The 15684-nt window shown below is 40.0% G+C and overlaps 1 protein-coding gene across 3 annotated transcripts in view, besides 1 other annotated feature; it reads left to right on the top strand.

The window, feature by feature from the left end:
* Positions 1-15684, top strand: part of FGF13 (fibroblast growth factor 13) — a 590297-nt gene that overhangs the window by 48099 nt on the left and 526514 nt on the right. The gene's annotated exons all lie outside the window — the stretch shown is intronic.
* Positions 12355-12558: a silencer, noted in NCBI's record as "fragment chrX:138226529-138226732 (GRCh37/hg19 assembly coordinates)". NCBI's record gives its function as "represses an EF-1alpha promoter that drives an FKBP-Casp9 reporter gene in an ReSE screen in K562 erythroleukemia cells {active_cell/tissue: K562}" and the evidence as "EXISTENCE:reporter gene assay evidence [ECO:0000049][PMID:32094911]".

The raw sequence follows: 15684 nt of genomic DNA, 5'->3' as shown, positions 1-15684 counted from the left end.
TCTGATGTTTACTTAGTTTCCTTAGCGTTTTACTTCTCATTTCAATTTGACATAAAGCAATGACGTAAGGACCAGGTACATTTTTCTCACCTTCATTTATTGTGGCCCATAAAGCTTAAACATGTTGGCTTGTGGACTGCAGTGTACTTTTTCTCACCTTAGATGTTAAGTATGTGCCCCATGGTAGAGTTACTGAATAAAAATTTCTGGGAGTGGGCTCTGATTTTGTTAAGAATGGTAGAATATGTTAGAATAAATACTATCATAAGCTCCCTTGATTATTCTTGTGCATACTGAAGTTGGAGAACGACTTAAGCCTGTGGGCTTTAAGGTTGAGCGCCTCGGTTTCTAACTGGCTGTTGGCCAGAGACCACACTCAGTTTCTTGCCACATGGGCCTTACCAATAAGACTCCTTGCTTATTCAAAGCCAGTAAGGGAGTCACTTAGCAATATAAGGGTTACATTTTGATGCATTGTAATCATGTACACATAATCAAATTCGTCTTATCACCTTGGCAATGTCCTGTTGGTTAGAAGCAAGTCAGGATCAAAGGGAGGAGTTTATACAGGGGCGTGAATACCAGGAAGCAGAGATCATGGGGGCCACCTTAAAGCCTGTCCCCATAGAATGTGAGGGGAGAGGGGAGGTAGTAAGTTCAGTTGTCTGCATGTGACATTTAAAAAACTTGTGGGCAAAAGTGGGTTTATAATGAATCTAAAGAAGTTTTGGGTGATTTATTTTCTCTCACAGGAGAAGACTCTGCTGACCAGGGCTCAACCCTGACAAAACAATTTTATGTTCATCATTTTGTATTCCATTCCTAAAAAGAGTCTCTGAAATTGTATAAACTTGAAGCCTCACCAAACATTGACTTTCCCTGCCTGTGGGAAAGCTTCCTGGGTCTGGAGAATATTCTGCTGCCCAGGGCTCACCCTGAAAAACAGCCCCGAGCTGTGGCTTGCATATCCCTGGCCTAGCAGCTTTTACCAGGAGGTGGCCATTAGCAATGGAAATCCCTAAACCATGATCCCAAGCACTTTCTGAAGAGTGGGGAGGACAAGTTCCAGAAGACTGCTTTTGTATCAGGTCTATTGTTCTTTGGGAGCTCATGTTAAGCAGAGGAGAAAAATTGACTTCTCAGACAAGCATTTCCCTACTCTTCTGCACCCACCGTCAGTTCACTAGGCATCTGCATCTCCAGGGCAAACATGCCTCTGAAGACTGCTGGAGCTAGTCTCCTGTGTTGTGGCCAGTAAGAACTTTTGCACATTTCTGCCTTTCTTCCTGTCCCCAGAAACTTACAGTCCCTACCCTAGAATGGTGAGTCAAAGTAGTCCACGGTTAGCTGCAGTGTCCTGAAGATAACTCATGGAGACAAACTAAAAAGTCAAAGAAGTTGTATCCCTCCACCTGTCATCTGAGTGTTGGGGGATTTCTTTGCTTAAGTGGGTGACTTGGGAGACTTTCTTTCTAGTAGATACTTGTTGGCCAGCACTGACCTGGAAGGGCCTATAGAGAGACAGAGCTGGATTAGGCTCTAAAGCGTCTTCAGTGCTGGGTCTCATGTTATTGCATGTAAATTAGAGATCCCCAATATCAAAATGTAGCTATTACATGACAATTCCTTTTCATTAAGAAGCAATTGCTTTTCATTAAGAAGAGGCTTCAAGACACAGGAGCCATGCACCCTGAGGGTATGGGGGTGTCATTAATGCTTAAGGTACTAAATATGCACACCTAGTTTTAGCTATAGACTAAATGATTAATATGGCCTGTATATGTGCTCCTGTTTTTCACAAGTATATGCATACTCTTGTGATGGCAGGATAAGTAATAAGCTCTGGAACCAGACTGCATGGTTTGAGATTCTCCATCTAGAACATACAAGCTTTGTATGTATGTATAATGATGCTAGACAAATTGCTTAACTTCTCTGAGCCTCAACATCCTTGTCTGGGAAATGAATATAATAATAGCATGTACCTCAAAACGTTGTTGTCTACCTTATATTAAATATTTTTTTAAAAATCCTTAGAACAGTCCCTGGTACAAAGTAAGTGCTGTATATATTAACCTTTATTACTACTAATATACAAATTAAAAGAACTACCCAAGACATGGTAGCTGCTTGCAGTTTGTTGTTTTCTCAATCAAAATATATTGAAAGCACAACTGCTGCTGTGTTCCTTAAATGAGCGCAGAGCCAGGGACAGGGCCTAGGGCTCCTGACTACACTTGCCGCATCATTTTTACTATTGCAGATTGCGTGTTTTGTCTCTTTGCTTAATGAAAAGCAATCACACCTTTTGTTGTTATTAAGGGCTTATTGTCATTTAATGGCTACATTTTGCTATTGGAGACTTTTCTAATTTACAAGCGGTAATTGTTCTGGACACGTGACTCTCATTTAGTATCTGCTGAAGAGCCCTTGTTCATAATTATTGCTTCCGTGGTTATGTTATGTATTTATCCAGCCCTTTCTTTAGACAATTGATATGTTGTCCTGGATACCTCCCTGTTGCTGATTTGGAGTTGGTCAATCCATCGCTTCATCAGTGCTCTTAAAATAATGAGTTATGGCATGCTTTGTGATCAGCACATAATGTTCTGAGTGGAAAAAACTCATGGCGACTCTCAGGAGTGCTATTTTTTGTCCCCTTGCCCACTCCTGCACACATGCTTGCTTCTGTTTAGCCAGAACCTCATCTTGCTAATAGTGGTCATAGGAAATTTTCTCACCAATGGGACCTATGTGTGCATATACAAGGGGGTAGTCATGGGGTGTTAGATTTCAGGTAAAATCAGAAGACTTTTTTGTGTTTGGTCTTTTCTCAAGATGGTATCTGTGTTTATTTCCTAGAATTGTTGTAACAGATGACTACAAATTTGATTCCTTGAAACAACAGAAAATCATTGTCTCATAGTTCTGGAGGCTAGAAGTCTGAAATCCAAGTATTAGTAGGACTCTAGGGGAGAGTGCTTCCTTGCCTCTTCTAGCTTCTGCTGGTTGCTAACAATCTTTGACATTCCAGTCTCTGCCTCTGTCTTCTCAAGGCCTTTTCCCATGTGTGTGCATGTATTTCCCCTTTCTCTATGTCCAAATTTTCCTCTACTTATAACGATAACAGTCATTGGATTAGGGCCCAATTAACCTAGTCCACTATGACATCATCTTACCTTGATTATATCTGTAGAGACTTTATTTCCAAATAAAGTCACATTCACAGGTACTTGGGAGTTAGGATTTAAACGTATCTTTTTGGGGGACATAATTTAACTCACAACAGTGGCTTTTCCTTGTCTCTCTTATTTTTCCTAGTTTTTAAATTTTAAAGAAGGGAAAACTCCCTTCCACCCAGTGGCACAGGAATGAGTTGATTTATATGGATTAAAAGTCATAGATGTTAGAAGAGGAGGAAAGTCCTAGAAGAAATTGTAGCCCATTTCTTTCACCAACTGAGGTCTAGGGGAGAGGGGGCTATTTGGCTAAGGTCAGAAATCTGATAAGGGATAGAGCCAGTCGTCAGACTTCATTTCCTGATTCTGAGATTAGGATAGGACTTTTTTTTTTTTTTCATTATCTCTTCATAAAGGTACTGGCAATAGTGGTTGAAAAACCATGTGGCAACAGACATTGAGGCAAATTTCTATAAAACCAGAAATAGCTGGGAAAGCGGAAGCCAGGTTGGACCTGCCAATAGTTGGAATTCTTGGCTGTCTGTAGAGGGTGAATTGACAGCCAAAAGCCCTACCAAGGTCCAAATCTCTCTTCCACCCATTTCAGTTCAATCTGATCAATACTTTTTATTGAGCTAATAACCAGAAGTAGGCCCTGAGGATTCACTGATCACAAGGGTAGAGATTATCCCTGCCTTTACGGAGCTCACAGTACAGTGAGCACCTAAACAGTGCTAGACTCCAATTGCCTACTTATTTTTCTGAGTGCAGTAAGAGAAGGACATAGTAGGGGCATCCATTTTGACCTTGGGGGAAGGGAGGTAGGAGTGGGGGAAGGTCAAAGAGCTGAGATCCCAAAACATGAGTAAGAGTTACCCAGTAAAGGAGCAGTACAAAAGGCTGCAGGTGAAGGAGTATTCCTGACAAAGGGAAGGCTTTGTGTGAGGGCTTGGCGGTGAGAGAGAGAGAAACACATGGTGGAAAAACAGCACGAAATTCAGTTTGCCTGAAGCACAGGGTCTGGGGGGCATCAAGAAGAGCTTTGTAAACTTTGAAGAGATTTGATTTTTTTCCCCTGGGCAGTGGGAAGTCATTTCAGGTTTCTGGGCATGGAGTAGGCATTCAGACTGGGGATCCCAAGTCCCATATGATATTTAACGGAGCTTTATTCTAAACAAATAAGGCTTCAGGGATCTCCATTCTGGGTAGATCCACCTTTCCAACCTTTCCCCCCACATATTTGTTGATTCACAATTAGCCACAGTGCTTGATCGGGCTCTAGAACCAGAGTCCCTTTTATAATGTTTTCAGGTTTTAGTCTGTGGTTGAAGGCCACTGTTCAGTATGTATATTTGTGCACCTGTGTGCTGGGCCCACATCGGAGGCCCAGTACATACTGGCCTCGTCGTTTTTTTTTTTGTTTTTTTTTTTAACTTAATCACATCGGTAATCGCCCCGGGGCCTCCTCCGTTTTTTTTTTATGACAGTTCGCTCTGAATTTAATGTTTGTCTGGATCTGCTTTTACCTTTCCTGCACATGATTTGAGCTATGGTTTGCTCTTCTCTTGTCGATCTGATCCCATGTGTTTTCCATCTTCAGGGAATTCCTCAAATTCTAGTACACAGAGGCACCCTCCTGTTACCCAGTCTCTGTTAATGGTGTTACAGTTAGCTCTCATTCAGGCAATGGAGATTAGCTTATCTTAATGTTTCTCAAGGCTTTTTATTTTTCATTATTGCTCCCCTAAGGAGCCTTTCTGGACATTTTTCCTAATTGTAGGACATTTTAATACCATGACATTTTAATACCAGAGATATACTATTTATGTGTTGTACCTATATCTGTCCTTTATATAGAACAAGGATAAGTATAAGGCCTACTTACTCTTTTTATAACATGAAGGATTAAGAATGACTAACGTTTGCAGTTAACAATTAAGTTAAAAATTAAAAAGCTATTAACAATTAACTTTGTGTGTATTTGCTGAGTACATTTTAATTTAATTTATTTACTTAAAAATTCCAGTGTATCAACTACATATAAAAATTAACAATTTATATAAATTTGTAATATTTAATAGCAAGGTGCTTCAATGTTTAAAAAATTCATCCAAATCTGCTCTTTTTCCGGCGAAAGTAAAGTAATTGAAAAAATTAAATTAGCTTCTTAAAAAATTTTACTGAACTTAACATTTAACTACTGCTTGATATGGGAAAATAACTTCTAATTTAACTAGCTGCTAGACAGTCATTCAGATCTTGCTAACAGTTTTTCTTTATATTTGACATAATTAATAATGGGCTGAATAATGTTATTAGAATTAAATGATAACATATAAACTGAAGATCAAATATAAACCACATTGACAAGGCAGCCAGTGGCAGCCACCTCTGCCATTTAACTTTTAGAATGGGCGATCAATGGAGAGAAAGTTTCCAATCACAGTCATCTATTCACCGTAGTTTTCTAGTACTGATCTGGCACACATTTTGTATGTCTACTATGAAGTCAAGGTCAGTGTTACTAGTATGATACCCAAGAAAACACAACAGGAGAAATTAAATAACAAGCTGTAAGATTTTGTTGGGTAAGGTTGAGCTCTCGAGAGCCAAAAACCATTGTAATATGTAAGTTTTTTTTTTTTCTTCCCTCCCAAAGAACCAACTTCAACCCTTTGGAGACTGTATTGACCCTTTGAGAATGCGTGGCTTATCTGATTGTGTCCTCTTAGGAGTCTTAACTTCCTAACATACGGGGCCCAGGAGAGCTAAGTATTAAAAGGATATGGACAGAGTATGAGAAAAGATTCAGTCATGAGACATTGCTGTGGGTGTAGCACCCTTTGTGGGCCGCTGAAACAAGTGGCCTAGGCTACTAGCATGAGGTTACTACAGTAATGGAGTCAAAGCAGAATTAGGGGCTGCTCCTTGGAGTTCTTGTATCTCTTAGGTTCACTGCATCTCAGTGCTTATCATACAATGAGTAGTTGGTATTTTATAAGTTGTCTGGTCTATCAGCTCTGTGCAGGCATTGGCTGTTTCTATCTTGTTCCTATTGCCAGTTATCTAGCACAGTGCCTGGCACATAGAAAGGGCTCAGTAAATATTTGTTGATAGGATAGAGAGAAGGCACTGCAGGTGGACTCAGCCTACTTCACAGGCTAGATGAGGGCTAGATACAATAACAGGAAAAAGAAGATTCACTATTTGAAAAGAATCCCAAGCCACCACCTCCAAACAAAGCCTTCTCTTTAACACCACCTCATCTCTTTGAGCACCAGGGAGGGAGTCATTGTGGATAGGTGGGTTTGACCATTTGCCATTTAGATAGCAAAGCAGTTTTAATTTGAAAAGTTTTAGTAGTGTCTTTTTAAAATGTGTTAGTCACTACTTTGGTTTTTTAAAGCAAATACTGCTGAATATATTTTATCTTTTGTTGGCAACCTAGAATCTTCCTAATAAGTATCAGTTCTTGAGGTACGGGGATCACTTTATCCTGCAACAAATGGTCTGAGACCAAGAACTTTTTGAGTTCTTGGGCTGGAGTTTCTGAGTTTTTCTGTCTTCTTCCCTGGCAGGCTAGCAGCTATCACTTTGAGTTGTTGTTAGAGGCCTACTGGTAGCACTTGCTCACTGTCCTCCCTCTCATTTGGTAGTTCTAGGATATTCAGATGGAGAGAATTAGCCAACCCTGTAAAAACTTTGTGTAAAGTAGGAGAATGGAAGTTCCTAGTGAGGAGTTGAGGAGTTCTCCTGTAAATAACAATTTCTGAAACTTTGTGTGTAGGTGTGGGTGTGGGTGTGTGCAATTGTGCACCTCTACAGAATCTGTTTTGCCCTTCTTCCCATTATCACCTGAGTTCTGGATGGGTGACATGCACTGATAGGTTTTGTGCTGGATAAGCAAGTGATTAGTATCATATTTTCTCAGAAGAGTTTATGGAGAGTATGTACATGAAGTTTATTTTTGTCTTAATGGACTGTCCAAGATTCCTTTAATGGGGGCTCACCTTTAAATAAGAGACCACAGATTTCCAATTAATAGAAAAAGTAACCTATGGGGATCTAGGTTGTTTTGTACATTGTGGACTGGTACCTGCTCAAATAATCTTATTCAGTAGCACTATCCAACAGTGTTATCAAGAAGTGCTAATTAACTTTTGGTTGGGGAAATGTAATTACTTGAATGGGAATTTTGACCCAGATACTTACCTGTTATTCTCAGGACATTCTAAACTTAAACACAGTTTTCTTTCACCAAACACACTTTAGTAAGAGATAATATCAGTAGCTCTTATAAGTGTGAACAGTACCAATTTTCAGCATATGTGAAGATTAGGTTCCTATGTACATTTAACAAAGTATTTCCAATGTAACATGGCATGTGGCCTCCCTTTGATGTCAATTCCATATTTCTGATTTTAAATCCTTAATCTAATGTATTGCAATAGTACATATTATGTGCACAGGTCTAGAAATGGAAAACCTTTGAAATGGTGCAAATTAATGATGTGTTAAGTATCACAATTTGAATAAAGCAGTGTGAATATCTTGAAAGAATAAAGGGAGAGTAAAGAATAGAAGAAAAACAGGGAGGGAAAAGGAATTCTCAAGGGAAATAATAGGGTTGTGTAAATACTTCACCAAATCGCCAAGACTGACAGCAGAAAAGGTCAAGGTCATTTTAAAATTGCAGGAGACTCAGTTCAAGTTGCCTTTGAGAAGTAATGATGTTTTGAGCAACTCAAAACTGAATTTAAGATTTGGTATTGGGGGCAAAAGGGGATCACAGAAGGACTCCAGGCCTGCTACCTCATTGTCTGACAAATTCCTATGTTCTGGGTCTGGGGTCAGGACCCTGCCCATCCTGCCCCCATTATTGTCACCATATTTCCCAGGCATCCAAGCCTCTGTGAGCTGGTAGGGTTTGTTATGCACTTACAGCAAAACTGACATTAGGAGCACACTCAGTACAGCTAACAGATCAAGTGCAGGTTCCTAAATGTGGGCTTGTTGAACATCCCTGGCCTTTCAGTGTTAAAGATGGACATAGAATATTTACTTGTATCTGTTTTTTCATGAAGGCTTTTGATACTTTGCCATGATATTTCATGTTTTTCCTTTTTTTTTTTTTTTTTTTTAAACCAATGGCTGCTACCTGGCATTAGAAAGCCAAATCACATTATAGCATTTTGGATCAGAGCTAGTTGTGAAGGCATTTTTAGAGTAGTTTTTTTCAGTCATTCTTTCCCTTTTATTCATTTTAAAAAGCTGGCCTTTATGATTTATTATGTAGGCTGCACACAACAAACATTCCCTCACTGGGATATTCTATACTCATCACTGAGAAATTTTAGCAATAAATTATATTCCCTAAGTGTAAGGAAGCAATTCCTGGGTAGTGTATGAAGTTCTACTCTGAATAGGCAGGTGTGTGTTCTGTATGGCACTGCCCATGTGGGTGTGGAGTGAGGAAACAGGAAAAAATGAAGGCAGAGCAGTCACGGGAGGAGGGCAATGGCTGAGAAGGAAAACAGTTATCATCCACTTCTGTCTCTCATTTTCCTTCCAGTTGCTCCTACTTGGTTGGTAAGTGTCTAAGTACAAAGCCCTCCATAAGCCCAGGTTATCCTCCTGGGAAAGGGGCCTCTGCTACTCTTCTACCTTTGTAGAAAGAAAGGAGGATGTTCACATGAGCCTGTCACTTACTGTGTACCTTCACACATGCTCTGTATACTGTGCTGAGTGGTGATACATCCACCAAAATTCATGTCTACCCAGAATTTCAGAATGTTGCCTTATTTGGAATAGGGTTTTTGTTTGTTTGTTTGTTTTTGTTTTTGTTTTTGCAGATGCATTACCTTCAATGGCAAAAAAAAAAAACCCAGAGTTACTTTTGCAAGAACCTAGTAATCAAATTAATACAAGGTCATACTTAATTAGGATCAACCCTAAATCCAATCAGTGGTGTCTTTATAAGGAGAAAGAGATTTGGAGACGCACGGAGACATACCAGGCCATATGAAGACGAGGGCAGAGATTGAAATGATGCAGCTACTAGCCAAGGAAGCATGTCTCTGTTGACAACTTGATTTCAGACTTCTAGCCTCCAGATCTGTGAGGGAATGCATTCCTGTTGTTTTCAGACATCCAGTTTGCGATTTTGTTATGGCAGCCCTAGGAAAATAATACACTCTGTTGATAAGGACTTATGGCAACCCTGACAGGTGGATACTCTTAGATGCCTTTTATGTCTGAAGGTCTTACTGAGGAAGCTGAGTCTTACTGAGGAAGTCCTGCTTCCCTTGCAGCACAGGTATGTGGTAAGAACCTGTGATGGGCTTGGTGCTTTAAGGATTATAGGTGGCTTAAGTGTAGGCCTTGCTATCAGCAAGCTCCCTGCAGATGTGTGTGGTGGGGAGATGGAACACGGAGGAAATCGACTTTTCCAATAGGCCCTGTAGCACTAGGCTGCTTGCCCTAGGCTGTCTTCATCTGCTCATAGACTTTTGGATCCCTTTTTTTTTTTTTAACTTGTTTTTAAATTTTTTATTTCCATAGATTTTTGGGAAACAGGTGGTATTTAGTTACACAAGTAAGTTCTTTATTTTTATTATATTTTATTATTATTATACTTTAAGTTCTAGGGTACATGTGCACAATGTGCAGGTTTGTTACATATGTATACATGTGCCATGTTGATGTGCTATACCCATTAACTTGTCATTTACATTAGGTATATCTCCTAATGCTATCCCTCCTCCCTCCCCCACCCCACGACAGGCCCCGGTGTGTGATGTTCCCCACCGTGTGTCCAAGTGTTCTTATTGTTCAATTCCCACCTATGAGTGAGAACATGCGGTGTTTAGTTTTCTGTCCTTGAGATAGTTTGCTCAGAATGATGGTTTCCAGCTTCATCCATGTCCCTACAAAGGACATGAACTCATCCTTTTTTATGGCTGCATAGTATTCCATGGGGTATATGTGCCACATTTTCTTAATCCAGTCTATCATTGGTGGACATTTGGGTTGGTTCCAAGTCTTTGCTATTGTGAGTAGTGCCGCTATAAACATACATGTGTATGTGTATTTATAGCAGCATGATTTATAGTCCTTTGGGTATATGCCCAGTAATGGGATTGCAGGGTCAAGTGGTATTTCTAGTTCTAGATCCTTGAGGAATTGCCACACTGTCTTCCACAATGGTTAACTAGTTTACAGTCCCACCAACAGTGTAAAAGTGTTCCTATTTCTCCACATCCTCTCCAGCACCTGCTGTTTCCTGACTTTTTAATGATCGCCATGCTAACTGGTGTGAGATGGTATCTCATTGTGGTTTTGATTTGCATTTCTCTGATGGCCGGTGATGATGAGCATTTTTTCATGTGTCTTTTGGCTGCATAAATGTCTTCTTTTGAGAAGTGTCTGTTCATATCCTTTGTCCACTTTTTGATGGGGTTGTTTGATTTTTTCTTGTAAATTTGTTTAAGTTCTTTGTAGATTCTGGATATTAGCCCTTTGTCAGATGGGTAGATTGCAAAAATTTTCTCCCATTCTGTAGGTTGCCTGTTCACTCTGATGGTAGTTTCTTTTGCTGTGCAGAAGCTCTTTAGTTTAATTAGATCTCATTTGTCAATTTTGGCTTTTGTTGCCATTGCTTTTGGTGTTTTAGTCATGAAGTCCTTGCCCATGCCTATGTCCTGAATGGTATTGCCTAGGTTTTCTTCTAGGGTTTTTATGGTTTTAGGTCTAACATTTAAGTCTTTAATCCATCTTGAATTAATTTTTGTATAAGGTGTAAGGAAAGGTTGGATCCCTTTTTTAGTGTCTTTTCTTGATTCAAAGAAGATTAACAGGAGACAAGTCAATCTGAGGAAATTCAGATAGAAATGTGCCCCCGCTGCTCTCACCTGATTCCTTCCTGACCCACTAAAGTTGAAGAAACAATAGCTTAATTTTCCTGGAAGAGGGTGTTGGGATCTAGGAAAGCTTTTTAGGGATGATGACATTTGAGGTAGATTTTGAGGAATTTATCCAGTTGGAGAGGAGGGAAGGTGGAGAGTGGAGGCATTGGTGGGGAAAGGATTTTAGGTAGAGGAAGGGATGAGAGGAAAGGTGCAGAAAGGGACCGGTGCTGGTGGGTCTGGGGCACCACTGTTAGTAACACACAGTTGGAGTGTAAGTTTTATGGCTTGAAGGGGAGTAGAGGCAGAGGGGGAAGAAAGGGAGGTTGACGTCATGATGAACAGCATTTTTGAAGCTTTTTTCTCCTATTTTTAAATAGCTTTATTGAACTAATTGACATATGACAAATAGCATATACTTAAAATATACAATTTTATAAGTTTTGACATATGTATATACCATGAAACCATCACCACAATCAAGGTAATGAAAACATCCATCACTCTCAAAAGTATACTTGTTCGTTTTTGCTATCCCTCTCTCCCAGCCTCTCTGATTTGATGCCCATTTGATTTGATGCTGATTTGATTCCTCCTCACTAGAGTCCCTTTGAGGGGGTCTGCAAAATCCTGCCTCTTCTAATTACATATCTGTGTAATACTGGAGTTTCTTCATGTACCTCAGCTAAAACAAACTACCATAACAAATCAGATGCAGAAACAAACATAAGAATCCAGCTGTCCTCCATTAACCCAGACATTAAAGAGATTTGCAAAAATACAAAACCGTGTTGTTTTGACCTACATTTTTGGTTGTTTTGAAAAATATGGTTATGTTTCATAAAACTTTAGTTATTTTTCTTAAAAATATGTTACTTATGTTACCATGTAATTATATTATTTATATGAACATGTTGTTGGTTTATTATTGTGAATTTCAAGGGAATTGATACCTGAATATTTAAAAATTTTTTGTTTTTATTTATAATTCAATATATATTGACAGATGTAGCTCACAAAATATAAGGTCTTTGGAGTACTGTTTTTTTCCCCCAAGAAATCACCCTTTTTTTCTCTGCCACATCTCAATTATTTTTAAGATTCTGAGATCGAAAAGCTTGATGATCGTTGCTCTAGAGGCTTTGGTAACATGCTAACATTTGTGGAATTTCTTTCCTTAACTAATGGGGACCTGTTGAAGATCTTTTCAGCAGAGGAATGAGGGGATCTGACTTGCTTTTAGAAGGAGGACTTTGGCAGTATAAGGATGGGGGAAGACTGGGCAGGGAGACCAGGAAGGAGACCATTGCAGGAGTCCAGGCAAGGCAGAATGAGTGCCTGACTGCAGTGCATGTCAGGGGGGTCTTCTGGAGAAAGTGATATGGCTTGAGGAATAATCAGGACAGGAGGTACAATCTCAGGGCTTTGTTTCTCATAGGATGTGAATGTGAACTGGCTTCCCCAAAAGGGGAGTGTCTCAGGCAGTGGTTAAGAGAGAAGCAACTTCTTGTCTCCAGGGTTTCTGGCTTGGGTTGTGGTAGAACACCATCAGAGTAGAGGAAAAGGGTTGGCAAGGGCTGGGCTGAACTTAAGGTCAGAGTTCTTTTCACACAGGCCAGGAGGGGGTTCAGGCTTCCCTGCTCAATGGGCACTCAATGCATAGAGTGAGACTGTGGTGAGGGTTACAGCTCAGTGAGTACGCCATCCCAGGCCTGAGGCTAGCAGTGCCAGTGAGAACAGGAAGGGAGAGAAGGAGGGGAGTGCTGCACCCTGCCAGGGCTACCTTTCCTTGGCTTTGGTGTGTGTGGGCTTCAGCTTGCATGTTGGTGGTCTGCAGAGCTGGCCACTGGGAAGGGAAGTGAACTAACAGAAATTTGGGGGTGGCAGGTGCATATTAGGGTAGCAAGAAGAGAAAGGCAGTCATTTGGGCCTGGAACCATACTAGAAGGCAGTTAGGAGACTGGAGAGTTTGATTTATGTGATCAGCTAGTATGTAGGTCCACTGTGCATGGAAGTCCCTTGGGACTAGATTTTGATGCATCCCCAATCTGTGCTCAAAGGCTCCAGCAATGCCCTAGTGGAGTCTGGTTGGAGCCCACCTTGGAGGGAAGCAGTCTTCATCACCTAAAACAGCAGCGCCTTATTTAGGTTAGTTTGTCTTCAAGTCCAGAGAACATTTTGGGGGACAAGCAGGTCCAAAATGGGATGAATGGGGGACATCTTCCCTAATTGAACAGTGAGAGCGCATCCACAGCGTGGGGAAGACAGACAACACAGAGTGTACTGAAGTACTTCCTTTTGAACTTTGTTAAACCTCCGCTAATTTGAATACTAGTAATCCAAATAATGTCCATTCGGATAAAACCAGGGCTATAATATTTACTTTTGTAATTATGTTATATATTTGTTAACATTTAACATTTAGTCAGGCCTGTGTTGCGGTTGCTGTGTGGAAGCTTATCAGTTTTTGCAAAGTGTGGAACACCTGTAAATGATGATAGGCACCTTGTTGATGACTGTGAAGCACTGGGGCTCTTCCAGACTACTAGGACTATTACCATAGGCATGAGTAATATGGAATCAGTAACCCAGATTACCACATAAATATCCAAACACAAATGAGCTTAGAGACTTCTGGCTCCCCTTTCAACATCTTTATAGCCTGATTTTCAGAGGCAGGATATTTCCCACTGGTTTTTATTCTCATGAGTACCTTGCATTGCTTATCCTGGTTATCAAACTTAGGGCATATATAGTGTTCACAGTGCTAAGCCCTATCTTTGACAGTGTGCTGTTATAACATTTTATTTTGTATGGCCTTAGATGATTCTCCAAATGCTGAGTCTTTTCATTAAAAAGTCTATCAGGACCTCTACTTGCAAATATTTCTTTTTGTGATATGTGGATGATGACATATCAACCATCCAAGATGGTGCTGGATTTGAACCTTTTTCTAATAGCAGTGGGAAGTCATTAAAGGATTTTAAGCCTAGGGTAACATGATTCAATTTTCAGTTACATGCGATATGTGGATGATGACAACCACCACCACCACAATGAAAGTAAGAAAAAACTGATCAGTGCTTTTTCTGTTCTTTTCTTATGTTATTGCATTTAATTCTCACAACAACTTTTGAGACAGGCATTAATTTTACTCTTCTACAGATGAGGAGGAAACCAAGGCTCCAAGAAATAACACCACTTGCCAAAGTCATATGGCTTGAAAGTGACCAAGCCAGGAATTGAATTCAGGCAGGCTGGTGGCCTTTCTTAACCATTACATTGTACCCAGAAATTGAAAACCACTTTTTCCCCCAAACTGTTAAGAATTAGAGAGATTTGGTACTCTGCCAGTACTACTTACTGGCAGATTTTGAAAAGCCGTGTACTTAATTAAAGTTTTCCTGAAGAGAGTACTTTGCTATTCTCTGAAAGTTTACACCTTCCCTATTTTTATTGTCTGTGATGATGCCATTTATGTTTTTATGTGGTGGTATTTTTATCTTTTTCTTTCTGTTAGCTGTCATTTTTACCTATAGAACCTGTGGCCAATTATCTGTGCCATTTTCTCACTTGACAACTAAAATATTGACAATAAACATCAGTCATTGCTTGCAGCTTAGAAAAAAATGCAGTGAGACACATTTATCATAACTGAGTTTTGGAAACTAGCTGTCTTTATATTCAGGTGACAGACACACTTGTAAACAACTGATGTTTACAGCACCAACTTAGATCTCACAGGAGGAATGGGGTTTTTTTCACTTGCCTATGTATTCTTCAGGCAGAATGTGTACCTTAAGTGTTTGAGCCCGGCAATGTCTTCAGTCTGCCTGAGCTCCAAGGTTCTCTTTTTCGGCTTCTTAGGCTAATCAGTGTGTGGGTCCTAGGGCACACAAAACCCATGACATTACTACTTTCATAGATGTTAATGTGATCTGAGCTGTATTATAAGGCACTTGCCCTTAGCAGTTAGTTAAGAAATATTCACTGAGTACCTATTATGTGCCTACTGGAAACCAGAGTATTGAATAGAATATATATGGTCTCCATGTTAATGGTTTATTCAGAGAAACAGAACATTGAAGAACTAAATATACATAAGTTAATAAGAGAAGTAGGAAGAAACTGCAAAGGAGATGTACAAACCTGACGGACTTTTCCAGGAAATTGACTTTTCAGCTGGGATGGAAGAATGTGGAGGGGTCATTATATGATGAGAAGGGAGGAGAGCTTTGCGGTTAGAGGGACCAGCATGTGTGAAGGCTTATCAGTAGAATAAACAATACCATGATAGAGAAACAGAGAAATTCAGCAGGGCTGGAGCAGACAGAGTGAGTGGAGGGTGGATAAGACGGTGCTGGATTTGAACCTTTTTCTAACAGCAGTGGGAAGTCATTAAAGGATTTTAAACCTAGGGTGACATGATTCAATTTTCAGTTACATTTTGAAAAGGTCAATGCAGTTACTATTCATTTCACAGGTAATTATTGAACATTTACTACATTCCAGGCATTGTCCTCGGCTCTGAGGGATAAGCCAAATAATAAAATAGACAGTGAATTCCTTGCTTTTGTGGATTTTATATTCTAGTGGAGTGG

Source organism: Homo sapiens, chromosome X (assembly GCF_000001405.40).
Source record: "Homo sapiens chromosome X, GRCh38.p14 Primary Assembly".
NCBI lineage: Eukaryota > Metazoa > Chordata > Mammalia > Primates > Hominidae > Homo > Homo sapiens.
This window is presented reverse-complemented; position numbering and strand designations above follow the sequence as displayed.